The sequence below is a fragment of the Homo sapiens genome, chromosome 10, assembly GCF_000001405.40.
Source record: "Homo sapiens chromosome 10, GRCh38.p14 Primary Assembly".
Classification (NCBI taxonomy): Eukaryota; Metazoa; Chordata; class Mammalia; order Primates; family Hominidae; genus Homo; species Homo sapiens.
The window spans coordinates 94,600,181-94,627,571 of NC_000010.11; the positions used below are offsets into that span (position 1 = coordinate 94,600,181).

Sequence of the window (27,391 nt, forward strand, 5' to 3'; positions counted from 1 at the left end):
CTCAGAAGGCTGAGGCAGGAGAATTGCTAGAACCTGGCAGGTGGAGGTTGCAGTGAATGGAGATTGTGCCACTGCACTCCAGCCTGGGTGACAGAGCGAGACTCTGTCTCTTAAAAAAAAAAAAAAAAATCCCAGAATGACTTTTTGTAAAACAGACTGTTGTTAAAATTTATATGAGAGAGTAATAAAGGGCCAGAACCAAGACAGTTTTGAAGCACAAGATATTCTATACCAGGTATAAAGTCTTATTAAAAATTTAAAAGTCATAATAATCAAGATGGTAGAATTAGCACATGGTGTGATATATTGGCTAGAAGTACAATATGGTGAATCTAGAAAGACAACTTTCACGAAAAGCTAATAAATGTGAAATGGAACTTCAAACAACTGATAGGAAATTCCTATTAATCAATAGATGATCTGGGGAAATAGTAATTAATAGGGGAAAAATTAACTTAGATTCTCCTCTCCTCACACTGCACTTACAAACTTCAGATAAATTAACAATCCACGTGTTCAAAACCTAAATATTAAAGGTAGAATTTTAACCTAAAAAGACAAGAAAATATATTTATGATTTTAGAATTAGAATTCTTTATAATACAGAAATCACAAATTATATGATAGGTTTCATAGATTTTAATTACATTAATAGGAAAGACTACTATAAGACAGATGACACCATAAAGAGATAAGAGACAAACCACAAATAATATTTGCAACATATAACAGGAAGTGTTTAGGATATGCAAGTAAATAAAAGTTGATAATGAAAACGGATAATATAAGAGCAGGCTATTACCAAGAGAGAAAGAAATGTCTGATGAACAGACAAGGATGATTAGAAATCAGTAATACAAATGAAAATCAGATTTCATTTCACAGCTGTCATGTTGATAAAAATTTAGGAGACTACATATTGTCATTGATTCAAAATGTTTCTCAAGGTAAGCTTTTTGTGGTGTGTTTTCAGCTATTAAACGAATCGTGATTGGGCCTCTTTTTAAAACGTTTCTGACAACATGATTCAAATTGATATTATTTATTGCTCTTTGACTTGTTTATCTTACCTTAAATTCAGCAAAAGCGATTTTGACTAGCAAACTGATGCTTTAGATTGTATGCTCCCAAGAGTCTGATTCTAGTTGTTGTATTAAGAATAGTGTACCTTTTTGCTTTCACTGCTATTAAATCTTGGTGATTAAGGAAGAGAGTGCCCTGTATTACTGTGAGTTTTATAATTTTGGACAGATGACTCACTTCTCATAACATCATATTGGATGTTTCTTTTACGATTTCTTCTTCTTATACTTCTAAAATGTACCTGTTTTAATGTTTTTCCCTTAGATCAAATGAATGCTTCAGGACCAATTAAAGAGAAGATGGGGATATTCAAGATATTAGAAAATTCTGAAGATTCCAGTCCTGAATGTTTGTTTTAAAGTGGAGCTCAAGAATAGCTTTTAAAAGTTCTTATTTACATCTAGTGATTTCCCTGTATTGGGTTTGAAATACTGATTGTCCACTTCACCTTTTTTATTATATCAGTTGACATGTAACTAGTACCATGCGTACTTAAATAGATGGTAATTTTCTGAGCCTTACCAAGAACAAAGAAGTATCCATATTAAGTTTAGATTTTCAGTTAATTTTTGAGACTGAGTAGTATTCTTGGATACAGGCTGATGTGTACTTAACCACTTCCAGATTTATACAGTCTTCCTGTGGAAGTTTAGTAAATGTCTTTTTCCCTCCTTTCTTCTAGTAATGCAGTTCATGGGCTTTAGGTACTTCAGTTATGAAGTAGGCTTTTCATGGGGAGAGATTGGGATTATGCTCTCTGTTGTTTAAGAAACTGTTTGATTTTAGAGTCTATTTCTATGAGATAGTTTACCAAATAAATGTTCCTTATAAGATGATCTCATTAAATTATTTCTTCAGGAATAGCTTAGGTGCAATAATAGCAAAAGACTTGGCTGTCGGTAGGATTTGGTTATTTTGTTTTCTTGGTTTCATTCACTAGTACTATAGGAGTGTGTCATATAGAGATTTCAAGTGGACATTGTGTTAGCACAAGAGAAGTTTCTGAATGAAACTTTAGGGTCTTGAGAAACGACTAGAAATTGGAAATGGTAGTGTATCATGCAAAACAAGACAGACCCTGAAAATTTATAGTAGTGGGTTAACTAGAACCAAATATAAGAGAATAGGCCTTAGGAATATGTAAGTAATGCACAATCTGTAATAGAACAGCATAAAGGCCAAAAGAGGCACAATTTAGACCCTGTGTGAAAGGATATCAGACAATGAGGAAGAGAAATCCTGAATGTACCCTGGAGAGGGGACATACTCCATAAGCCATACATTTCTGTGTTAGTGTTTATTTCATGGAAAAATATTGCTGTTGCCATGTATATTCAAATGCAGATCAGATGATCTGTTAAGGATAATGGAACCGTCACTTAAGAAAAACTTAATTTTTTTTCCCTGTGTCCTATTGGCACAGGTCTTTTCTTTTAAATTTTTATTTTAATCGTTTTGAGGTACAGGTGGGTTTTGGTTACATGGATAAGTTCTTTGGTGGTGAAGAAAAACTTCAGATAGAACATTTGGTTAAATAAAAGACTATAGAGCAGGTTTATTTGTTTTTTAAGTCAAAATGTTAACCCATTACATAAGCATGCTGACCTAGGCTTGCTTGAAACTCGTGATCTTGTCCTTAGTGACCCAGTCTTTCCTGTTACATTGTCCTAAATGACTGGTTTCATAGTTTTACTCTGTCATTGCACGTCTCATATCTCCTCCCTCTCACTTTGCTCCCTATTGCCCTGAGAAAATAGACGCAGTCAGAAAAGAATCTTTAAAAGTTGTCACCGTTGCATCTGTAAACCTAGCATCTGTGCCCATCTGTCCCCATCTGCCCTTTATTATATACTGCGGATATATTGTTTGTCGTAGCTTGAGCCAATTGCAATGTCTCATTTCTTTTATAACAAAGCTCCTTGAAAAAGAGTTCTATTATAGCAAAACTCCTTGCCTGTATTCATTGTTTTTAGTTTGTTCTGTTTTTTCTGAACCCATTCCAATCAGATATTCATTTCCATTGGAGCTGGTATTTTTAAGGTCTCGTGACGTCAGTGACCTCATTTTACTTGATCTATTAGCAGCATTTCATACAGTTGTTGACTCTTCTCCATTAAAACATTTACTTTATTTGGCTTCTAGGAAACATATTTTCCTGCTTTTTCTTCCTATTTCTCTGACTCTTTTCTCAGTTTCCTTTGCTGTTTCCTTTTCTATCCTCTAAACATTGAAATATCCTAAGCCTAGTTTGGGATTCCCTTGATGGTCTTCATTTCTTTAATGGGAACTGTGCTGGTGACTCAAATTTATATCTCCAGCCAGAACCTTTCTCCTGAATTCCAGATTCACATATCCGACTGTTTACTAGGTGCTTGATAACTATATCTGTACTTTTCATCTTGTTTAATCCAAATTTACTTCTTTTGCATTTTCCTTAGTTCAATAAATGACAACTTTATTCTTCCAGTTATTTAAACCAAAAATCTTAGAGTCATTCTTCTCTTCCTTCCCTCATATTTCATGTCTGATTCTAAAGGAAATCTTGTTGCCTGTACTTTTTCTTTCTTTCCTTTTTTTCCCCTTTTTTTGAGTCTCGCACTGTCGCCCAGGCTGGAGTGCAGTAGTGCAATCTCAGCTGACTGCAATCTCTGTGTCCCGGGTTCAAGCGATTCTCCTACCTCAGCCTCCTGAGCAGCTGGGGTTACAGGTGCATGCCACCATGCCTGGCTAATTTTTATATTTTTAGTAGAGACTGGGTTTCACCATGTTGGTAAGGCTGGTCTCCAACTCCTGACCTTGTGATCTGCCCGCCTTGGCCTCCCAAAGTGCTGGGATTGCAGGCGTGAGCCACCACATCTGGCTTTTTTTTTTTTTTTTTTTATAAACAGTTTCACTTCGTCACCTGGGCTGAAGTACAGTGGTGTGATCTTGGCTCACTGCAACATCTGCCCCCCGGGTTTAAGTGATTCTCATTCCTTGGCCTCCCGAGTAGCTGGGACTAGAAGTGTGCGCCACCACACCTGGCTAATTTTCTTATTTTTAGTAGAAACGTGGTTTCACCATGTTGGCCAGGCTGGTCTCGAACTCCTCACCTCAACTGATCATCTGCCTCGGACTAAGTGCTGGGATTACAGGCCTGAGCCAATGCGCCCAGCCTACTTTCTATAAAAGTCGTCATGTCTCTGCCCCCACCCCCCGCCACCCCCCACATAGTCTGTTTCATTTGATTTTCCCCTTAGTTTAGTGTTTTATTTTGATGTTTCTTCAGATGCCTTGGGATCATTTACTGTTCCTCATATTTAAGAGCAAATGCTTAAAAATTCTTAGAAATACCTTCTTGAAAAGCCTGCATTCCTACCACCTCTCACCACTTCAACATGAAATAATGATCCCTTACATCTTTTTAGTGTAGTTATATAACTTTTGATTGGCTCAATAATTACTTTTATTATGGCTGTGTAAGTATTATTAAAGCTTTAGATAAGCCATGGAATATGCTGTGATTTTATTTTCATTCTTGTGCAGCTTTTTTTTTCTCCCTGAAGTTAATACTTAACTGTTTTTTACCTACCAGTAATTTATATCTAATCACTCTGGAAATATAAGCCCCTCAGTATATTAAAACAGATCTCATGATTCAGTAATAAACCTCCCCCTCCAAATATATCCCATCACCTCTACTCCCTGGAACATTCTTCTAGTTTGGACTGTAGAACTGATTCCATCTGGAACCTTCCTTTACCATACTCCTGGGTATTCCTGTTGGCTGTTTCATGTTTTGGAATTACTGTTTACTGTGTCTTGTGTCTCCCCCCCCCCCCCTTTTTTTTTCCTTTAAGACAGAGTTTCACTCTTGTTGCCCAGGCTGGAGTGCAATGGCTTGATCTCGGCTCACTGCAACCTCTGTCTCCCAGGTTTAAACTATTCTCCTGCCTCAGCCTCCTGAGTAGCTAGAATTACAAGCGCCCACCACCATGCCCAGCTAATTTTTGTATTTTTAGTAGGGACAGGGTTTCACCATGTTGGCCACGCTGGTCTCGAACTCCTGACCTCAGGTGATCCACCCTCCTCGGCCTCCCAAAGTGTTGGTACTACAGGTGTGAGCCACTGCGCCTGGCTGGATCTAACTTTTTTTCCTCCTTGGTTTACTCGCTCACTTTGATGGATTATGTTGTCTTGTGTTTTCCCAAGAAAAGAATTCAAGGGAAATGAATTTTTTGAGAACTCGCATATCTGGCTGTATTTTTGTTGGATTCTTATATTTGATGGATAGTTCTGGTTTGGGATTTTAGAGTAGGAATTATTATCTTCTCAGAATTTCGAAAGTTGTTGTGTTGTCTCAGAACTTCCAGTGTTGTGGGAGAGAAAATTAATGGTTCCTTTTTTTTTTTTTTTTTTTTGAGACAGGGTCTCATTCTGTCACCTAGGCATGAATACAGCTCACTGCAGCCTTGACCTCCCGGGCTCAAGTGATCCTCCTGCCTCAGCCACCAATTTAGTTTGGACCACAGCCATGCACCAAATGCCCTGCTAAATTTTTAATTTTTTGTGGAGACAGGGTCTCACCATGTTGCCCAGGCTGGTCCTGAACTCCTGGGCTCCAGCAATTCCCCCCGGCTTGGCCTCCCAAAGGGCTGGGATTACAGGTGTGAGCTCCTGCACCTGGCCCGAATGCTGCTTTGATTTCCAGTCTGTTGAAGGTGGGGGGAACCAGCCTTTTGTTAATGTGAGCTTCCAGTGTTTCTTTGTCTTTTGTATTCTAAATTAATAACACAGTGATGTGTCTTGGTATGGGTCTTTTTTTTTTTTCTTTTTTTTTTTCATTTTTAAAGAGACTCCTGCTATGTTGCACAGACTTGTGAATTCCTGGTTTCAAGTTATCTTTCCCCCTATGTCACTCAAGTAATGTGGACTACACTCATGTGACACCATGCCCATCTTTATGTTGTGTATCTTATTTTTGTTTTGTTTTACTCTTGAATCAGCTCAGTCTGAAAATCTGTCTTTTAATTCATGGGGATTTTTTAGAATGATTTCTTGGAGGGTTTTGTCTTTTGAATGTGTGGTCCCTTCTCTGCCTAGAATTTTTTTGTTTGAATGAGACATGGTCTTGCTGTTGTCCAGGTTGGAGAGCAGTGGTGCAACTATAGCTCACTACATTCTTGAATTTCTGGGCTCAAGCCATCTTCCCATCTCAGCTTTCAGAATATCTTGGCTACAGGCATGTGACACTATGCCCAGATAATTTAAAAAAAAAAAAAAAATTTCTTGAGACAGGGTCTTGCTATGTTGCCCAGGCTCGTCTTGAATTCCTGTTCTCAGAGGGTCCTCCTATGTTTGCTTCCCAAAGCATTGGTATTATATGTATGAGCCACCACCACTAGCACTTCTGCCTAGAACTCGTAACAAAATTTCTTTCCCCCATCTGCATAGTCTTGTTTCATTAAATGATTCTTCCCTTTTTAAAGTTTAGTCTGTCTTTTATTTTGATGCTTCTTCAAATGCCTTGGGATCATTTACTGTTCCTCAAATTTAAGAGCTAGAAGAAATCTCTCTAAGCTCCATGCATGAGGGTTCTCAACAGGTGGATTTTACTCCAGTGTGATTTCACTAGACCATTTATTTGAGGGTCACCCAATTGTCAGTATATGTATATGAGAGAGAATATGTACATATATATCTGAGAGAAATTCTCTAATCACTTGTCCTGTGTGAGTATATGTACTTTGCCAGTTTTCTTTTGGGGTGAGGAGGAGGGACAGTGTATTAGAGATTTTACTGTTCAAAATGTAGACTTCCTCAGTTTTCAGTAAAATACTCTACCCTGTCTATATGTGGATTCCCCTATTCCAGACTGATTCACCCTTTTCAGTGAGTTAGTCGTGACATTTCTTACACTGTGAGGGGGAGTGGTAATTACTTTACAGGGAGGTATGGGGCCATGGTGTTTGACTCTTCTTTCAACCACTTCTGGGTTTTTTAGTGAAAACCTCTATCTAACACTGATACTTTCATTTCTGTTGTCTATTGAGTCAGTTAACACTGATCCATTTATTTTTCAGTTCCCAAAATCTTGCTTTGCCATTGCTTCTATTTTATTGTCTGGGGGTGTTTAACACCTGTTTCATTTTTTACAGTCATTTAGTTTCCAGATTTTAGTAAGGGACAGAGGGGAATAGATGGACTCATTTCATGATGTAGAAACAAATACTCCCTGTCTTGTCTTACATGAAAAATTATTCTTAAACTAGGCCTTATCTTTGAGAACCTGATCAAAGTATAAAAAATACTTTTTGGCTTTATTTCTTTAGTGAGTCACTATTCCATATTTTGAAGGTGTTAAGAGGTATGGTAAAGGTGGTACTTGAACATTTCCAAGCAAACGTGTGATGAAATCTTTCATCAATGTCTTAGCAATGGTATATGATTTTTTTAGTCTTAGCAATTTTAGATAAGTTTTTTTTTTGTCTTGTTTTTTTGAGACGGAGTCTTGCTCTGTCGCCTAGGCTACAGTGTAGTGGCGTGATCTCGGCTCACTGCAGCCTCTGCCTCCGAGCGGGGTCCAGCGATTCTCCTGCATCAGCCTCCTGGGTAGTTGGGATTACAGGTGCATGCCACCACACCCAACTGATTTTTGTATTTTTAGTAGAGACAGGGTTTCACCATCTTGGCCTGACTGGTCCCGAACTGATCTCAGGTGATCTGCCCACCTCGGCCTCCCAAAGTGCTGGGATTACAAGCGTGAGCCACTGCGTGGCCTGAGGTAAGATTTTATAAGAAGCCTACAAAGCCCTAATTTTTACATTAAGAACATTAAGTGCTTCTGATAGTTTTAAGTTCCGTAGTCTTTATTTCAAAGAATTATTTCATTCTGAATTTCTATTTAAATTAGTCTAGAATATGTTTATAAATTTATTTACATTTGGTTGAAATGTATTCTTAAAACTTATTCCACAGTTTCCAGTTTGAGGATAAATGAGGTCTAAAGACAGTATGAACTTGTTAATAATTTTTCCTATTGTCCTTTTTAGAAATCTTACATATCCTTTAGCCTAATTATAGATTGGCCCTGCAAGCATGTCACTGTATCTTTTATGTCTTCCTGAGTCTTAGCACTTTAAATTCTTCTATATCCTTCACTGTCTTTCTTACAGCACCCTAAAAGAGTAGCATGTGAACTGTTGCTCTTCTCTAAGGTATTTTAGGACATTTTTAAAATAATATATGAGTGGTTGTCATGCTAAATACTGTCTACCACAACTCATACAATTAAAGTGGTCAAAGAAAGGTCTCTTTCATTTCTTTTTTCATTTTAAAAAGAAATGTTATTTGTAAAACAGTATAGTCATAACACAGATATGGCAGTTTTTTAGTTTTTTTTTTTCTTTTTCTTCACTGTGTCATCCAGGCAGTAGCGTGATTATAATTCACTGCAGCCTCCAACTCCTGGGCTTGAGGGATCCTCTCACTGAGCCTTCTGAGCAGCTGGGACTGCAAACGTGTGCCAGTACTCCTGGCTAATTTTTAAATTTTTTTGTAGAATTGAGGTGTTTTTTTAAATTTTTTTAAAGCCTTGTTTGCAAACTGTTGCAACTTCTGGCGGCTGCAACTTCTGGCCTCAAGCAATCTTCCTGTCTTGGCCTCCCAATAGCATAAGCTACCGCACCCAGCCCACAATTTTCTTTCAGTACAATATAAACATCTTGCAAGCGCTAGCTTGATTTACACTTTTTGTCTGTATCCACCTCTTTTTTTTTTTTTTTTTTTTTTTTTTTTTGAGATGGAGTTTCGCTCTTACTGCCCAGGCTGGAGTGCAGTGGTGCGATCTTGGCTCATTGCAACTTCCACCTCCCAGGTTCAAGCGATTCTCCTGCCTCCATCTTCCGAGTAGGTGGCATTACAGGCATGTGCCACCACGCCCGGCGAGTTTTGTATTTTTAGTAGAGATGAGGTTTCTCCATGTTGGTCAGGCTAGTCTCGAACTCCTGACCTCAGGTGATCCACCCACCTTGGCCTCCCAAAGTGCTGGGATTACAGGCATGAGCCACTGCGCCCAGTATATATCCACCACTTTACCATCCACATTAGCATTTCATTAGCTTCTCTTTGCCCTTTTAGTTAATAACCCCATCTCAGGGTGATTCACTTTCATAATCCGTATTACCATGGATTAATTCTGCATAGCAAAAACTATGATAGGTGTGTTAAGTAATGAAGTTTGGGGAATGTTAATAAGATGATTTCTCTTACTGTAGATGAAATACATCGTAAGAGAATCCCTCGTGAGACCAGATCAGTTACATGTATATCTTGCCTCTCTTAAGTCTCTACCATTTATTACTGTACTTGAGTTAGGATTTGGAAGTGCCACTGAACACTAAAATTATTCTGTCTGGGTATTTGAATGGTGTGAGACAAAAATCCATTTTAATGTTTTATCAAGTTGAGATGTCTCACATGAGTAGTTAGTGCTGAGAATCAGACACAGGCACATTTGGGAGCATGGCGTGGCAAGAAGCTTTGCTTTTTCCTGTTCCTATTGTACTCAAACTTGTTTCTACATTTTTCATTGATTTCTCTTCGTACTAGCACTAGGGCGCAAGAGAAGCCGTACTGGAATATTACACTACTCAGCACAAGACAGGTTTAATCTTTTTCTTGGGGGACAAGATTGGAAAATTGAGGTCTGAGCAGACCTGAAGAGAGGCATCCAGCAACTCTGAGATTAAATTCATCATTGATCAATTCGTTATTGTTTGGAATTGACGTTTAGCTGTGTTCCTCACTCAGATACGTGCATGATAGCTGCTTGCTAATTTGGTCTTAGCTCACATTTCACCTAGAATGTATGGTCTCCCTCTCCCCTGCAAAATATCCCACTGTTGCTAATCTGTCTGCCTCATAATTTCCATGAGATTGAGCATCTTGTTTGTTTTGTCACCACTATATAACAGCATGTTGGAAACAAAGCAGTAATAAAGCTAGAAAAACCAAGCGAATACACTGGATTAAAAAAAATACTGTTTCCTAGAATTAAAGAAATAAATGAGGCCGGGCGCAGTGGTGCCTGTAATCCCAGCAGTTTGGGAGGCTGAGGCTAGTGGATCATGTGGCCGAGATCGCGTCACTGCACTCCAGTCTAGCAACAGAGCGATACCTTGTTTCTTACTTAAAAAAAAAAAAAGACCTCATTTGTTAACTGTTAAACAGAAAACAAGAAATTCCCTATACCTGTATGCATTATAGAGCAAATAAGAGCATCAAAAACAATCTTAGAAATCTTTCAGAGAAAGGTCACCTACAAAGGAACATTGATCAGATAATAGATTTTTTTTTTTTTCTCAGATGGAGTTCTGCTCTTGTCGCCCAGACTGGAGTGCAATGGCACGATGTTGGCTCACTGCAATCTCCGCTTCCCAGGTTCAAGCAGTTCTCCAGCCTTAGCCTCCCAAGTAGCTGGGATTACAGGCTCCCACTACCATTCCCAGAATTTTTGTATTTTAATTAGTAGAGACGGGGTTTCGCCATGTTGGCCAGGCTAGCCTCGAACTCCTGAACTCAGGTGATCTGCCTGCCTCGGCCTCACAAAGTGCTGTGATTACAGGGTGTGAGCCACTGCACCTGGCCGATAACAGATGTTTTAATAGTAAGATAAAAAGTAAAATTTCCAGTGTGTCGAAGGAAGAAAATTACAGCCTAGAATTTTATCTTCATGTACATTATTTAAGTGTGAGGGAATAGTTTCAGTGACATTATGTCATTGAAGACCTTAGAAGATTTCCCTCGCTAAAGGAGATAAAGCGACTGGCACAACATGTATTTCTCTGAGTAATTAGAAGTGTTCTTTTCTGGCTGTACTGAAGGGACTTTCATGATTTCTTCGTTTTTGTACTCTTAGTTTTATAATATTGCATAGTAGCTAAGGCCTGGCTGTAGCAGTTATAAACTGTTCTGCAAGTGCGGGAAGTAATAGTTATTCCTATCTCAAGGATGTGGGGTTTAAATGGGTTAGTGCACAAAAGGACATTTATTAAATTTAGTCATAATCATCTCAAGGACATGGTAAGTGAAAGAGTGTACATAAAGTACTTAATGTAATGTTTGCTACTTAATGTTCAATAACTCAAAGAGACCACCACCACTACTACATTTTACTTTTATTAGTAATTAATAATAATTAATAATTAGTAATTCAGTGGTAATTAGTATACTACCAAAGAAAGTACTTGAGCAGAAGAGCCAAAATTCAAACCATAGAATCATTTTACTGTGCTTTTATTCTACCTCAAACACTAATCTCCAGGCCTTGGATAAAGGGATTATTTCTCTGAAGGGGAAAGTTATCCTCTTTTTGCCCAAGTCACACTTGTGTCATTTCTTATACTGTAAACATGTGGTTCCAATTCTGAGGTATTTTCCCGGTTTGTAGGACCCAAAAAGAAGTTAGGCTTGAGAAATTTTAAGTGAAGAGAACAATTCTAGTTCAGAGTGATTGGCTCTTCCTAAAAGCTGACATTTGACTGAAAATTTTGAGGGGAGGGAAAGAAACAATACCTTTTACGGCATGTAATAGGAAGAAGACCTGGATTTTAGTTGCTGCTCTGATGTCCCAACTTGGGTAAGGCAACATAACATAAATGTCAGTTTCTTCAGATTTGTGATGAAGCTGATAATCCATGCTCAGCTTCCTTTATGGGTCTCTTGCCTATCAAATAAGGTACAGTATGTGAAGATACATTGCAGATTATCTTATGCATTGCTTCAGGGGATGATTAAACCATCCTTTATTATAGCCAGAGTCTAGTCTAAGGGAAGAAGGTCATTCTCTATACCAGTGAAGGCTCCATCCAAACCAGTGTTTGGGGGCATAGTCATAATTGAAAAATGATTGTTTTCCTTATCTGTAAGACAGGTAAATGGTATTAATCCTCAGGTGGTTGTGAGGATTAAGTGATACATGTAAAAAAAAGAAAGCTTTGGATAGTACCTATTATAAGAAACTCAGTGTTGCTGCAATGTATGTATTATAATGGATTTGAAATTTGCCCTAACCAAGAGTCACAGACAGAAAAAAGGAAGTTAATGTATCTCTTGATCACTATCAAGATGTGGTATTGAACCTTCAAGATCCTTTTCAGGGAATATGTGAGATCAAAATTTTTATACTGGCACTATGATGTTATTTGCCTTTTCCTCATATTCACAAGTGAACAGTGGAGTTTTACAGAAGCTATATAATGTCATGACATCACTGATGGGTAATAGAATGTGTGCTTGTATATTCCGAAACTTTCAGTTCCAATTTCTTCGATCAATGTAATCCTCATAAGTAAAAGTTATTTGAGGACCTCAGACATTTTTAAAAATGTAAAGGGGGTGGGGTCAGGCTCAGTGGCTCATGCCTGTAATCCCAGCATTTTGGAAGGCCGAGGCGAACGGATCACTTGAGGCCAGGAGTTTGAAACTAGTCTGGTCAACATGGTGAAACCCCGTCTCCACTAAAACAAAAAGTTTTCTGGATGTGGTGGCACACATACCTGTAATCCCAGCTACTTTGGTGGCTGAGGCATGAGAATCACTTGAACCCAGAAGACAGGTTGCAGTGAGCCAAGATTGTGCCCCTGCATTCTAGCCTGGGTGACAGTGAGACTGTCTCAAAAAATAAAGGTGTACAGGGATTGTATATTTGACAACTTGGTATGTAGGATGTGCTACCTCTAATGTTCCATGCTGTTACTTAGTTTTCACTCACTACTATATTTTGGAGATTTGTTCATATTGCTCTGTGTACATTTAATTCTTCAGTGTGTATCCACCACATTTAACTTATTCACTTACAGAACTATGCAAGAATTTCTCTGGTAAATTTCACTAAGTACTTATGTACTTTTCAGAACGATTGTGAGTTTACACCCCTACCAGCAGGACTGAGTTGAGTACCCATTTCCTCACATCCTTGCCAGTACTTCATTTGCCTAATTTTTGCCATTCTCATAATGTGGCAATTGTTCAATTTTGCATTTCTTCCATTTTATTTTTTTGCATCTCTGCTTTTCTTTTGGTTAGCTTTGCCAGTTCTGCCTATTATATTAATCTCCCAGAATCAGCTTTTAGTTTTGTTAAATCTCTGACATGTTTCGTTGATTCCTGCTTTCATCTTAAACATTTCTTCGTTGTTAATTTGTGTTTGCTATAAAATAAGCAACATCTTAAATGCTTGATTTGCTTTCGATGTTTATTCTGTAATAAGATATTTAAAGATATAATTTTTTCCCTAAATGCTTTATTAGACTTTTCTCATAAGTTTTGACTGGTACTGTTTTCATTGTTATTTAATTTTGTGTTTTTTAACTTCTTTCATGATTTCCTTTTAACTGAAGGTTTTCTTAGATATTTAGTTTGCTGGTATATTCTTTTAAAATTGTATCATTGCTTTCTTTCTATATTGGATTATTGTCAGAGAACATGATTTGCATGATATTAACTTTTTGGAGTATATTGTTGCATCTTTGTGGCCTAGTACATAGTTAATTTAGTGAATGCTTCCAGTTGTACTTGAAAAGAATGTATATTTTCTGATTATTGAGGGTAAATTTCTCTATATATGTTTTCCTGTTTAATAAATATGTAGCTATGTGCTTATGTTTTGACTGCTCGGTTAATTATTTTTGAGAAATATATGTGTTAAAGACTCCATATTTCTGTACACAACTGATACCTGGTATTTGCTCATTTTAAGGTCTTTTTAGTAATGGGCGAAGTATAGAGAAAGTAGAGCTGGTTCATCCATCACTTGGGTCAAACCCTCCATCCTTAAACAGTTGCTCATGTGCAGGTGGACGCATCATTGAAGCTTTTCTTTCTTTGGGCACCAGAGTCAGGGATAGATTCAGGCCCCAAAAGACCCCACGGTACTTCCTGGGCCCTTGGGCTCTGTCCTGAACTTCTGTGTCCTGAAATCCTGCTTGAGTCTTGAGTTGTGGGACTCAAGTCTCAGAGGTCCCCTCCCCAGACAACCTCCTGTTCTGACGTCATAGGAGACCATCACCCCCTCCAGCCCTCAATAAGTGCATTTTAAGTGTACAATTACATGAATTTTGACAGTTTTTTATAAGTTACTTGTAATTTTACTTATATATAAAATGTCTATAAGCTACCTATAATTTATACTTACATATGTATATATGTTTGTATAATGACTGGTAAAACCTAGATACAGATCATTTCTGTTATCTCCAGTTGTTTCCTTGTGTTATAGCCTAGTCAATCCCTGCCCCACCTCCAGCTTCAGGAGCAGCCACTGATGGGATTCTTTTCCCCCAGTATAGATCAGTGATTCTCAGTTGGGTGATTTTGTCCTCCAGAGGACATTTGTCAAGATCAGGAGACATTTGGTTGTTAAAACTGTAGAGTGCTATTGTAATCCAGTGGGTAGATGCTGGAGATGCTAAACATAAAGCACAGGACAACCCCTTACAACAAAGAATGATGCAGTCCAACAGGATCGTTTGAGGTCACAGAAAGGTGTGAACAAAGGAGGTGGGAATCACGGAGGCCATCTTCAAGTCTGTTTGCCACATACCCCATTCTCTGTCTCCTTTCTTTCAGAGATTCTAACTTTAGATCTTTTGGATATATCCCACATGTTTCATTCACTACTTTAGTCTTCTCATTATTTTTTTTTCTCTGTGCTCAGTTTGAGATTTTTGACCTGTCTTGAGTTTTCTAGTCTCATATATAACGGAGTTATATAATCTTCCAGTTTGTTGGTAAAATCCATTCAGCGAGTTCTTAATTTCAGATGCTGCATTGTTGAGTTCCAGAATGCTTATTTAATTCCTTGTAATATTACCAGCTGAAATTGTTTATCTTTTAATTCCTTTCCCTCTTTTTTTAAACAACATATTAATCACGAGGGGTTGGTCTCTTCAATCCCATCAGGGTTATTGGGTTTGGGCTATGTTGAAATCTTGGTAAAACTTAGTTCACCTCTAGTTTATCTCTTTTTGTTTTTTTGAGACGGAGTCTCACTCTGTCGCCCAGGCTGGAGTGCAGTGGCGCGATCTTGGTTCACCGCAAGCTCCGCCTTCCGGGTTCATGCCATTCCGCGTCAGCCTCCCAAGTAGCTGGGACTACAGGCACCCGCCACCACGCCCGGCTAATGTTATGTATTTTTTAGTAGATGGGGGGTTTCACCGTGTTAGCCAGGATGGTCTTGATCTCCTGACCTTGTGATCCGCCTGCCTCGGCCTCCCAAAGTACTGGGATTACAGGCGTGAGCCACCGTGCCCGGCCTAGTTTATGTCTTCTATGAGCATGGTTCTCCTTGGCTTTTGATTTATAGTCTTGTGAGTCTCTGGCTCCTTATCCCTGAAGGACTAATTTAGTTTTGCCGTTTAGAGGTTTTGATCTAATTGGCTCTTGAGCCTCTGGTTCCCCTGCAGCTTCAAAATCTGGCAAGTGTCTTGAGGTGGAGGACTCTTAGTAGAATGTTGTTTTCTAAGTAATTTGAGATTATGGGAAATTTCACTCTTTTTAGAGGCCACCAGTCTACTCACCTTTTCATTTGTAGCCACAGAATTCAGCAAATGTCCTGTGGACAAAACTATATGTATTAGGGGTTTGTCAAAGTTTAAATGTGTCATGCCAGACTCAGAAGCAGCCAAAAACACTGCTGATCTTTTTTTCTCTTCTAGAGATCCTCTATGTGGACCAAGCCTGCCTGATCTACACACACACACACATATGCACACGCACACGTTCAAACTTATTCAAATCCTTTATATCATTTCTTATGTGAACTGCTTAATTTTGAGGGAGGTTTTAAAAATATTTTATCATGATTATGGATTTATAAAATTTTTATTTTGTCAGTTTTTTGCTTTTTGTATGTTGAAGTCATGCTGTCAGATGCTTTAAGGCACATAATTGTTATATAATTTAATTGACAAAACAATCTCTAGCCATAGTTCTCTCAGGCCTTGTTAATGTTATTCATTTTAATTTGCTTAATAGTAGTATTGTTATCCCATTTTCACTTTGTTAGTTTTTATCAGAAATATATTTTTTCATTTCTTAATTTTCAGTACTTTAGTTACATCTGTTATAAACAGCATTATTTTAGTTTTAACAAGAAGATTTATAGATTTCTCATGACTTATATTTTCAGTTTTGTGGCTCAGGTTTTCCTTTTGTTGGAGTTCTATGAGATTTTTTTCTTCATCTCCTCTATTCATTGCTATTATCAACTAAGATGATTTTGATTGGGAGAGCCTCAACTCAGGCTGGTTTAAAAAATAGGGAAATTTCAGCACTTACTCTAGGCAGGGATAATAAAATAAAAACAATAGGGTCGGTGGCTCATGCCTGTAATACCAGCACTTCGGGAGGCCGAGTCGGGTGGGTCACTTGAGGTCAGGAGTTCAAAACCAGCCTGGCCAACATGGTGAAACCCCATCCCTACTAAAAATACAAAAATTAGTCCAGGCACGGTGGCGGTAATCCCAGCACTTTGGGAGGCCGAAGTGGGTGGATCATCTGAGGTCAGGAGTTCAAGATCAACCTGGCCAACATGGTGAAATCCTGTCTCTACTAAAAATAAAAAAATTAACTGGGCGTGGTGGTGGGCACCTATAGTCCCAGCTATTTGGGAAGCTGAGGCAGGAGAATTGCTTGAACCTGGGAGGTGGAGGTTGCAGTGAGCCGAGGTTGCACCACTGCCCTCCAGCCTGGGTGACAGCGTGAGACTCTGTCTCAAAAAATAAAAAAATAAAAAATTAACTGGGCATGCTAGTGCATGCCTATATTCCCAGCTACTTGGGAGGCTAAGGCAGGAGAATCGCTTGAACCCAGGGGTCGGAAGTTGTAGTGAGCCGAGATCGCATCACTGCCCTCCAACCTGGGCGACAGAACAAGACTCTGTTTCAAAAAAATAAATAAATTAATTAAATAAAGGGATAATTTACTACTTCACATAATAGTGTTACAATAGCCATGTGGCTCAGATATGTTCCCTAGTGGTAAGAAATCTCTATGCCTCACCTTCTTTGGTGGTGTTCAACCCCCATATGTGGTTTTTTCCCCTTTTGCTTACCAACCCCCAGAACAATTCCTGTTGGCCCAAATATGTTACTGGTGGTGAATCCATACGGTTCTGCAGCAACCTCAATTCTTGCCTCTTGAGAAGAAATAATTTGAGGGGCATAAGGCAAAGGAGAGACAGGCAAATATTAGAGGAGGAGTGAAAGTTTATTACAAAGTTGTAGAGCAGGAAATGAAAGGAAGTAAAGTACACTTGGAAGAGGGCCAAGTGAACATCTTGGAGGTCAAGTGCACTATTTGACCTTGGCCTTAGGGTTTTATATGCTGGCCTACATCTGGCATCTAGGATCGCTTTTCTGGTGGAATGCCTCTGAAAGGTAATATACCAGTTAAACTCTGCCGTTTTGCCTGTTAATGTGCATGCTTGAGGTTACTCGCCCAACTCCTGAGATCTTATCAGGAAGCTGCTGATCACTAGTCTTAGGTGTTTCGTATATGTTGGGAGACTGCCTTTCCCTGGTGTTGGCTGTGACCAGTTATATTATGGAGACAGTTAACCACCTGATCATCACCTGATGGCCACCTGGGATGTGGGGGGAACCCTCTCCTGCCCCACTTATGCCTGTCTAGCTACCTACTGTAACAATAGAAAGCCTACATTTGGACATGCTTCAGAGCTGTTTGACTCTGGTTCAGTGATGTCATGCAGGTATTTCTAGCTCTCATCATGCTTTTCTTCAGTGGCAGCTTCATTCTCATACTGGTAGCAAGTGTTTCCAGGCATCACACCCAGAAACAACCACATCCAGAGGATGAAGAGAGACTACATTTTTGGTGCTCTCCTAGGAACAAGATAACTCCCTCAAAACTTGCCATGAGAGTTCCCATCATGAATCTTTGTGTCAAATTCCTGAGGCAATCTCTGGCAATATATGCAAAATTATGTTTTGCTGCTCCCTGGATGTAGGGGTTGGATCAGCTTCCACCAAGGTATTTAGCTGCCTGGGGAAATGGGTGGATAACTGAATTACATTGGTATTACTCTGTTAGGAAGGAAAAAGTAGGTAGGGGAGAATGTTGAATAAGCCGGGAATACTGTCCCCTACAAATGTTCAAGGATTTTCCTTTTATTTATTCGTTCTTCAAAACCTCAAGAAATTATTATTATTATTATTATTATTATTATTATTATTATTATTATTATTTTTGAGAGAGGGTCTCACTGTCTCCCGGGCTAGAGTTCAGTAGTGCAAACATAGCTCACTATAGTCTCAACCTCCTTGGCTCATGTGATCCTCCTGCCTCAGCCTCTGAAGTAGCTGAGACCACAGGTGTGTGCCACCACACCCAACCAATTTTTTTATTTTTAAATTTTCGTAGAGACAGGGTCTTGCCATGTTGCCCAGGCTAAGAAATTCTACTAGAGAGGTTAAGTAGTCTTCTTGGTTCCTTGCTGGAAAACAAAAATTCCATAAACAAAGTTTTGCTTTATGAAAGGGGAATGATTTTATAACGTAACTTGACATACTAGTAATTTAATATTTGTATTATGAATCTAGTCATTGTTTGGGATCAGGCCACATCACCCCAAAGTCTCTATGACTGCAGGAGACCATAATATACCACCCCAAAATATGCCTCTTTGATGAACTGATTATTTTGAACTGCTTATTTTAAGAAACTGCAGATGCAGGAGTAGTTCTGAAAAGGTGCCCATTTGTAAGATAAATTTACACAGGAAATCTCCACTTTTAAGTGCCAGGCAAGGTGTCAAAGCCCGGGCAGTGAAGACTGGTTGGCTCCCTGCTGGTAAAAGAATTTACCAACAATAGTATAGGTTTGAAAAGGAAAGTTTTATTAGAAAGAACACTGCAGCAGAGTGTACTGGGACACTTCAGCAAGAGAGGACTGAGTGTGCAGTTGTGGATTTTCCGTAGGGGTATTTATGGACCTTAAAGCAGGAGCTTAAGGATACTTTGGACCATATTAGTAATGTAGGTCATGATAAATGGTTACATGTGTAGACATTTTGGTGCCTTGATGTCAGCGAAGTTTGCACAATGGGTTTCAACATGCGTGCATTCTGGAGATGTATTGAAATTCTTGTTACTTACACATTTTTGGGAAAGAGGCCTGATACCAGATGTGGCTTTAGTCAGAGGTGTCCAATATATATATATTTTTATACTTTAAGTTCTGGGGTACATGTGCAGCATGTGCAGGTTTGTTACATAGGTATACATGTGCCATGGTGGTTTGCTGCACCCGTCAATCCGTCATCTACATTAGGTATTTCTCCTAATGCTATCCCTCCCACCAACAGGCCCCGGTGTGTGATGTTCCCCTCCCCGTGTCCATGTGTTCTCATTGTTCAACTCCCACTTACGAGTGAGAACATGCAGTGTTTGGTTTTCTATTGTGTTAATTTGCTGAAAATGATGGTTTCCAGCTTCATCCATGTCCCTGCGAGGGACATGAACTCTTCGTTTTTTATGGCTGCACAGTATTCCATGGTGTATATGTGCCACATTTTCTTAATCCAGTGTATCATTGATGAGCATTTGGGTTGGTTCCAAGTCTTTGCTATTGTGAACGGTGCCACAGTAAACATACGTGTGCATGTGTCTTTATAGTAGAATGATTTATAATCCTTTGGATATATACCCAGTAATGGGATTGCTGGGTCAAATGGTATTTCTAGTTCTAGATCCTTGAGGAATCGCCACATTGTCTTCCACAGTGGTTGAACTAAATTACGCTCCCACCAACAGTGTAAAAGCATTCCTATTTCTCCTCACCCTCTCCACCATCTGTTGTTTCCTGACTTTTTAATGATCACCATTCTAACTGGTATGAGGTGTTATCTCATTGTGGTTTTGATTTGCATTTCTCTAATGACCAGTGATGATGAGCTTTTTTTCATATGTTTGTTGGCTGCATAAATGGCTTCCTTTGAGAAGTGTCTGTTCTCATATCCTTTGCCCACTTTTTGATGGGGTTGTTTTTTTTTTTTTTTTTTTGTAAATTTGTTTAAGTTCCTTGTAGATTCTGGATATTAGCCCTTTGTCAGATGGATAGATTGCAAAAATTTTCTCCCATTCTGTAGGTTGCCTGTTCACTCTCATGGTGGTTTCTTTTGCTGTGCAGAAGCTCTTTAGTTTAATTAGATCCATTTGTCTATTTTGGCTTTTGTTGCCATTGCTTTTGGTATTCCAGACATGAAGTCCTTGCCCATGCCTATGTCCTGAATGGTATTGCCTAGGTTTTCTTCTAGGCTTTTTATGGTTTTAGGTCTTATGTTTAAATCTTTAATCCATCTTCAGTTAATTTTTGTATAAGGTATAAGGAAGGGAACCAGTCTCAGCTTTCTGCATATGGCTAGCCAGTTTTCCCAGCACCATTTATTAAATAGGGAATCCTTTCCCCATTGTTTGTTTTTGTCAGGTTTGTGAAAGATCAGATGGTTGTAGATGTGTGGTGTTATTTCTGAGGCCTCCGTTATGTTCCTTTGGTCTATGTATCTGTTTTGGTATAAGTACCATGCTGTTTTGGTTACTGAAGCCTTGTAGTGTAGTTTGAAGTCAGGTAGCGTGATGCCTCCAGCTTTGTTCATTTTGCTTAGGATTGTCTTGGCAATGTGGGCTCTTTTTTGGTTCCCTATGAACTTTAAAGTAGTTTTTTCCAATTCTGTGAAGAAAGTCAATGTTAGCTTGATGGGGATAGCACTGAATCTATAAATTACTTTAGACAGTGTGGCCATTTTCACAATATTGATTCTTCCTATCCATGAGCATGGAATGTATTTCCATTTATTTGTGTTCTCTCTTATTTCATTGAGCAGTGGTTTGTAGTTCTCCTTGAAGAGTTCCTTCACATCCCTTTTAAGTTGGATTCCTAGGTATTTTATTCTCTTTGTAGCAATTGTGAATGGGAGTTCACTCATGATTTGGCTCTCTGTTTGTCTGTTATTGGTGTATAAGAATGCTTGTGATTTTTGCACATTGGTTTTGTATCCTGAGACTTTGCTGAAGTTACTTATCAGCTTAAGGAGATTTTGGGCTGAGACGATGGGGTTTTCTAAATATACAATCATGTCATCTGCAAACAGAGACAATTTGACTTCTTCTTTTCCTAAACCAGGAAGAAGTCGAATCCCTGAATAGACCAATAACAAATTCTGAAATTGGGGCAGTAATTAATAGCCTACCAACAAAAAAATCCAGGACCTGACAGATTCACAGCCGAATTCTACCAGAGGTACAAAAAGGGGCTGGTACCATTCCTTCTGGAACTATTCCAAACAATAGAAAAAGAGGAAATTCTTCCTAACTCATTTTATGAGGCCAGCATCATCCTGATACCAAAACCTGACAGAGACAGAACAAATAGGAAAATTTCAGGCCAGTATCCCTGATGAACATTGATGCGAAAATCCCCAATAAAATACTGGCAAACTGAATTCAGCAGCACATCAAAAACTTATCCACCACGATCAAGTCGGCTTCTTCCCTGGGATGCAAGGCTGGTTGAAAATACGCAAATCAATAAACGTAGTCCATCCCATAAAGAGAACCAAAGACAAAAACCACATGATTATCTCAATAGATGCAGAAAAGGTCTTCAACAAAATTCAACAGTTCTTCATGCTAAAAACTCTCAATAAACTAGGCATTGATGGAACGTATCTCAAAATAATAAGCGCTGTTTATGACAAACCCACAGCTAATATCATACTGAATAGGCAAAAACTGGAAACATTCCCTTTGAAAACTGGCACAAGACAAGGAGGCCCTCTCTTACCACTCCTATTCAACATAGTATTGGAAGTTCTGGCCAGGGCAATCAGGCAAAAGAAAGAAATAACGGATATTAAATTAGCGTTGTCCAATATTTTGCCTGCCTTGGGCCACATTAGAAGAAGAATTGTGTTGGGCCACACAAAATACACTAACACTAATGATAGCTGATTAGCTTAAAAAAATCACAAAAAATCTCTTATAGTGTTTTAAGAAAGCTCATGAATTTGTGTTGGGCTGCATGCAAACCTGTCCCAGGCCACATGCAGCTTGTGAACTGTGGGCTGGACAAGCGTGTTTTAGATTGTGCACCCAAAATATCTGAGATGGGTCTCAACCAATTTAGAAAGTTTATTTGGCCAGCATTAAGGATGCACCTGTGATGCAGCCTCAGGAGGTCCTAATGACATGTGCCCAAAGTGTTTGGGTTACAGCTTGCTTTTATACATTTTATACATATATATATGTATCATCAATCAATATGTATAAGATGTACATTGGTTTGGTTGGGAAAGATGGGATGGGAAAGATGGGACAACTTGAAAGAGGGGAGGGCATGGGGGGGCTTCCAGGTCATAAGTAAATAACAGACAAAATGTTGCATTCTTTTGAGTCCTTGATCAGCCTTCCACAGAATACACAATTTAATATGGCTCAATGAATCTGTATTTTTACATAAACAGTAGGGCAGAGGAAGCAATCAGATATGCATTTGTCTCAGATAGCAGAGGGATGATTTTCTGTGCTGCACCTGTGAAGATAAGCTATCAGTTTGTTGTCAGTGAAATTCAACAGAACTCCTTTAGGGTAAAGATCTTGAGGCCCACAAGGAATTTCCTTGTGGGCAAATTGTGAGGGAGGTATGTAGCTCTTTTATCTTTTTAGCTATCTTATTTTGGAATAAAATGGGAGGCAGGTTTGTAGTTCCCTGCTTGACTTTTCCCTTGACTTGTGATTTTGGGGTCCTGAGATTTATTTTCCTTTCACAAGATAATAGGGAAGTGTAATTACTTCTTGAATTCCTCAGATAAGGGGCTTTGCCTCCAGATGGTCTGCTTGATGGCCGAGGTGATCTTTCCTCTCCTCAGTAAGGATATCTTCTTTGCACAAAGAAGAGAGGGATGACTAAATGGAGAAGGTGCCCTCAGATAACAAATCTTACCTTTGTGTAAGGTGCTTTTCCTGGCTCTCTCATCTTAACCAGGCTTTTTCCCCATGCTCTTTTTCTCTGTACTCTAAAAAATTACTTATTCCTTACATGTCTTTCTTGTATATATGAAAATATACATGTTAATAAACCTTTTCTCCTGTTAACCTATCTTTTGTTACAGGGAGTCCCAGTGAAGAACTATGAATGGTAGAGAAAATTATTTTTTCTTCCTTACATTATTATCACTTGTTGTAGATAACAAGGATATCCCTCAGTTAACTCATGACTGCAGATCATTATATTGGCCTTTTGTTTACCATATATTTACCCTACTTCCCCAATAAGAATCACAGAACCTTTTCTGGTCAACAGAGAAGTTTCTTCTTAAAGAATCTGGCCTCATCCAAGGAGAGACCTGGCCTTTGTCTTGGCTCCTAGGAGGTAATCTCTAAGCTATTGGAATTTCCTAAGTGATAGGAATGTCTTTGTTATTCTTGGTGGGCCCCTCAGACCACAAGGCTAGTTAGTGCTAATAAGGTGATTCATGGCCTGAGTGCTGTGGTTTATGCCCCTAATCCCAGCACTTTGGGAGGCTGAAGTGGGAGGATAGCTTGAGCCCACGAGTTGGAGACCAACTTGGCTGATGTGATGAGACCCCCATCTCTAAAAATAATAATAAAAAAAAATTAGCCAGGCATGGCAGCGTGTGCCTGTGATCCCAGCTACTTGGGAAGCTGAGGTGGGAGGATTGCTTGAGCCCAGGAGGTTGAGGCTGTAGTGAGTTATGATGGCACCACTGCACTCTAGCCTGGATGAAGGAGTGACACCCTATCTCAAAATAAAATAAGGTGTGTAATGGTGGGCCCCCATGATGTCAGACTGACCTCCTGGGAAGAAGGGAGAGCTGATGCCTACATTTAACCTGTGGCCAATGAATTAACCATTAAGCCTGAATAAAACCCCTGGACATAGACAGTAGGATGAGCTTTGCCTTGTACAGGTATTGTAGCCCACTGTGGCTGGGAGGAAGTAACACTGGCTATGGATCCATGGGTAGAGGTTAACGGAAAGCTCAGCATTTGCGATGTGGACAGGAGACAGGGAAATACTGGGTAGAAGAAGGGCGTTTCCCCAGCAAAGGCCCCATTCTCAAGCCTGGAGACCCATGGCCCTAACTGAGAACAGGCACTTCTGTTTTTGTGCCCCAAAAGTTGCCTTTTGGTTTGCCTTGCCCCTGTATCCTGTACCCAAATAAACCCCGAACCTCAGGCTCCAGAAGCAGATGAGGAGACAAAGAGACAAGGAGATAAGGAGGCAAATGGTAGAATGGCACAGCAGAGAAAGAAGAGAAGGAATGTCTGAACACAAAGAGGAGTTCGGCTGGGGGCAGTCTGAGAGATGTTCAGCTGCTGGATGACCAAACTCCAGGGGAAGATCATCTTCCCACTCCATCCCCACTTCCAGCTCCCCATCCATCCTGCTGAGAGCCACCTCCACCACTCATTAAAACCTCTGCATTCATCCTTCAAGCCCGTGTGTGACCCAATTCTTTCAGGACACTGGGCAAGAGCTCAGGATACAGAAAGCTGTCACACTAGCCCTCTGCTCTTGTGAAAAGGCAGAGGGCCCATTGAGCTGGTTAACACTTAAGCCATCTGAGGAAGGCAAGGTTAAAAGAGCATTGTGACACTGGGGCCGCAGGCACCCACCCCTAGAGACTACTATGGGGCTGGAGTCCACATCACTCACCCTAGGTACTCCACCTCCCTGTCTGCATGCTCCCCCACCTGTCAAGGATTTGAGCACCAAACAGGTGAGCCACACCCCTGTTGCACGTCCTGAGAGGGGGGTCAAGGAACTCTCCTATTTCATTTGGACCCCTCCACAACTCCACCCGATGCATCTCTTCCTTTGGCTGGTTACTGAGAATATACAAGCTTTCAGTACTATGAATCTTGCAAGCAAGTTATTGAATCTGAGGGTGATTTTGGGAAACTCAAAACTTATAGTTGGTGTCAGAAGGCTTGCAGTCTGGAGAATTGTGCCCTCACTTTTTAGTTAGTCTAACTCCAAGTATGCTGCTATATCATATAGTAGGAAGAACCTGTCTGTGGGTCTTATTTGTATCTTTGCCTGGAAGTTGATTGTCAAAGATTCAGTTGGAGATGGGGGAGGCTGACAAGAAGATACTCACAGGAAGGTTATCACACAACTATCTATGATAATAGGGCTTGTACCTGTAGTCTTTGACACTTAGAACAGTCTCCCTCTTAACAAGACATGCTATATTTTTTTCTGCTTGCCCAGCTTTTGTCATCATGAAGTTACACATATTTTCCACCTGTCCTCAAATTGGAATTATGGTCAGAGGACTTTGAAGGTGTATTTGAACCACAACAGTGATAGTAGAGCATCATGCATAAACAAATAAATTTAGTAGTCCAGTTATTTTATTTTATTTTATTGAGCCTGGGTTTTGCTCTGTTGCCCAGGCTGGAGTACAGTGGCATGATCATAGCCTACTGCAGTCTCAACCTCCTGGGCTCAAGTGATCCTTCCCAAGTAGCTGGGACCACAGGCATGTGCCACTATGCCCAACTAGATTTTTTTTTCTTTTTAAGACAAAGTCTTGCTCTGTCACCCAGGCTGGAGTGCAGTGGCACCATCTTGGCACACTGAAACCTCCACTTCCTGGGCAAGTGATCCTCCACCTCAGCCTCCCGAGTAGCTGGGACTATAGGTGTGTGCCACTACACCCAGCTATATTTTTTAAAGTATTTTTTGTAAAGAGGGGGTTTTTCCATGTTGCCCAAGTTGGTCTTAAATTCCTGGGCTTAAGTGATCTGCCTACCTTGGCCTCCCAAAGTGTTAAGATTACAGGAGTGAGCCCCCACACCTTGCCAAACTCTTATTTTTTAAAGAAATCTCTTTTCTCATATCTGATGTTTTGAAATTTAGGTTGGTTGTATTTTGTTGGCAATTTATTTCCATATACTTAGTCTTCTAGAAGTTTCTCAATTTTATGGTCTGTTATTATTCACCTCCTGGATTTTCGATGCTGCCATAGATTAATTTTTATATTTATTTTGTCATTTAAAAGAAGATATTGGGAGGGAGAAGAAGTAAACAAGGGCATTCAGTCAGCTATCTTGATCTCAAAAACATATTTATAAATCAGAATAAAAGTCATTTTTTGACTAAGAAGTTGGAACAAGAATAAAATAAGCAAAATGCCCTAGTAATTATGGAATGTACTAGTTAGCCACTGCCAGGTACAAAACCACCCTCAAAGCTCAGTGGCTTAAAATGCTTATTATTTCTGAGTTTGTGAGTTGGCTGTGGTCAGCTGGTCTAGGCAGGGCTTGAATGATTGGCTCAGCTGGCCTTGGTTAGACTCACATCTGTGGCCAGCTGGTATTCAGTTGATTTAGACTCAATGGGGTTGAGGAGACTGCTGAGAAGGTTTTCTCATCCTTCTGCCACTAAAGAGCTAGCTCAGACACGATCTTCTCATAACAAAGGCAGAGACGCAAAAGTAAGTGAAATTGAATAAGTACTTTTCAAGCCTCTACTTGCATCCCAGCTAATTTCCCATGGCTAAAGAAAGTCACAGGGGCAAGCCCAGAATCATGGTGGGAGGACACTGCAAAGTTACATGGCAAAGTTTATGGGTACAGAGAGAAGTGAGGTGTTTATGCAAACTTCCCTCCAGAATTGTGATTCTCAAATGCAAGGAAATATAAAACCAGTTGGAGATATTTGAAATGGTCTTTGGAAGCAATGTGCATTATTTTGTTAACCCAACCTATTCTTTAATGCTTAATTTAAATATCACCTTTTTCATTAATGTTTCATGATTCTCATAATGGTTAGTATTTTCATCCTTTTCAGATTTGTCACTGAGATATGAAGCAGCATTTTGAATCACATGCAGTTATAATCATCCAAAGGGCAGTAGTTTTGTTTTGTTCTGTTTTCCTCAGCATTTTGTGAGTTATGCTGTTTTTTTTTTGTTTTTGTTTGTTTTTTTTGTCAGAGGCAAGCTTGTAGACAACAAGAAAAACATACTATAGTGATAGTCTAATGATAATTGCTACCATGTATGCATAGTGTATTGAGCTACTCTGTGTACTGTTCAAAGCACATTACTTACGCTAAATCTTTTTAATACAAATTGTTATGAGGTCTTCTGTTAAGCAAAACTTCATGTGAGAGTTCAAGTTAAACAACCAATATGCTTTTCTGCTTCAAAAATTAATGTCTATTAAATAACAGCATAAGTCATTGAACTCTTTTCTAATAGCTGCTTTTATTTTTATGT

At 39.4% G+C, this 27,391-nt stretch overlaps 1 protein-coding gene across 11 annotated transcripts in view, besides 1 other annotated feature; it reads left to right on the plus strand.

Annotated features, from left to right (window-relative positions):
• Positions 1–13,725, plus strand: part of HELLS (helicase, lymphoid specific) — a 68,118-nt gene extending 54,393 nt beyond the window's left edge. For 10 of the 11 annotated variants that reach the window (NM_001289071.2, NM_001289067.2, NM_018063.5 and 7 more), the window contains one exon: positions 1,348–1,919. In NM_001289071.2, the coding sequence (NP_001276000.1) occupies positions 1,348–1,442 (95 nt within the window). In that variant the 3' untranslated portion in view covers positions 1,443–1,919. Of the gene's footprint in view, positions 1–1,347; positions 7,847–9,672 lie in introns of those variants that run through there. The other variant, XR_007061960.1, reaches the window with a different exon arrangement.
• Positions 26,191–26,692: an enhancer, noted in NCBI's record as "NANOG hESC enhancer chr10:96386128-96386629 (GRCh37/hg19 assembly coordinates)". NCBI's record gives its function as "activates a minimal SCP1, AML or CMV promoter by ChIP-STARR-seq in naive H9 embryonic stem cells {active_cell/tissue: H9 hESC(naive)}" and the evidence as "EXISTENCE:reporter gene assay evidence [ECO:0000049][PMID:30033119]".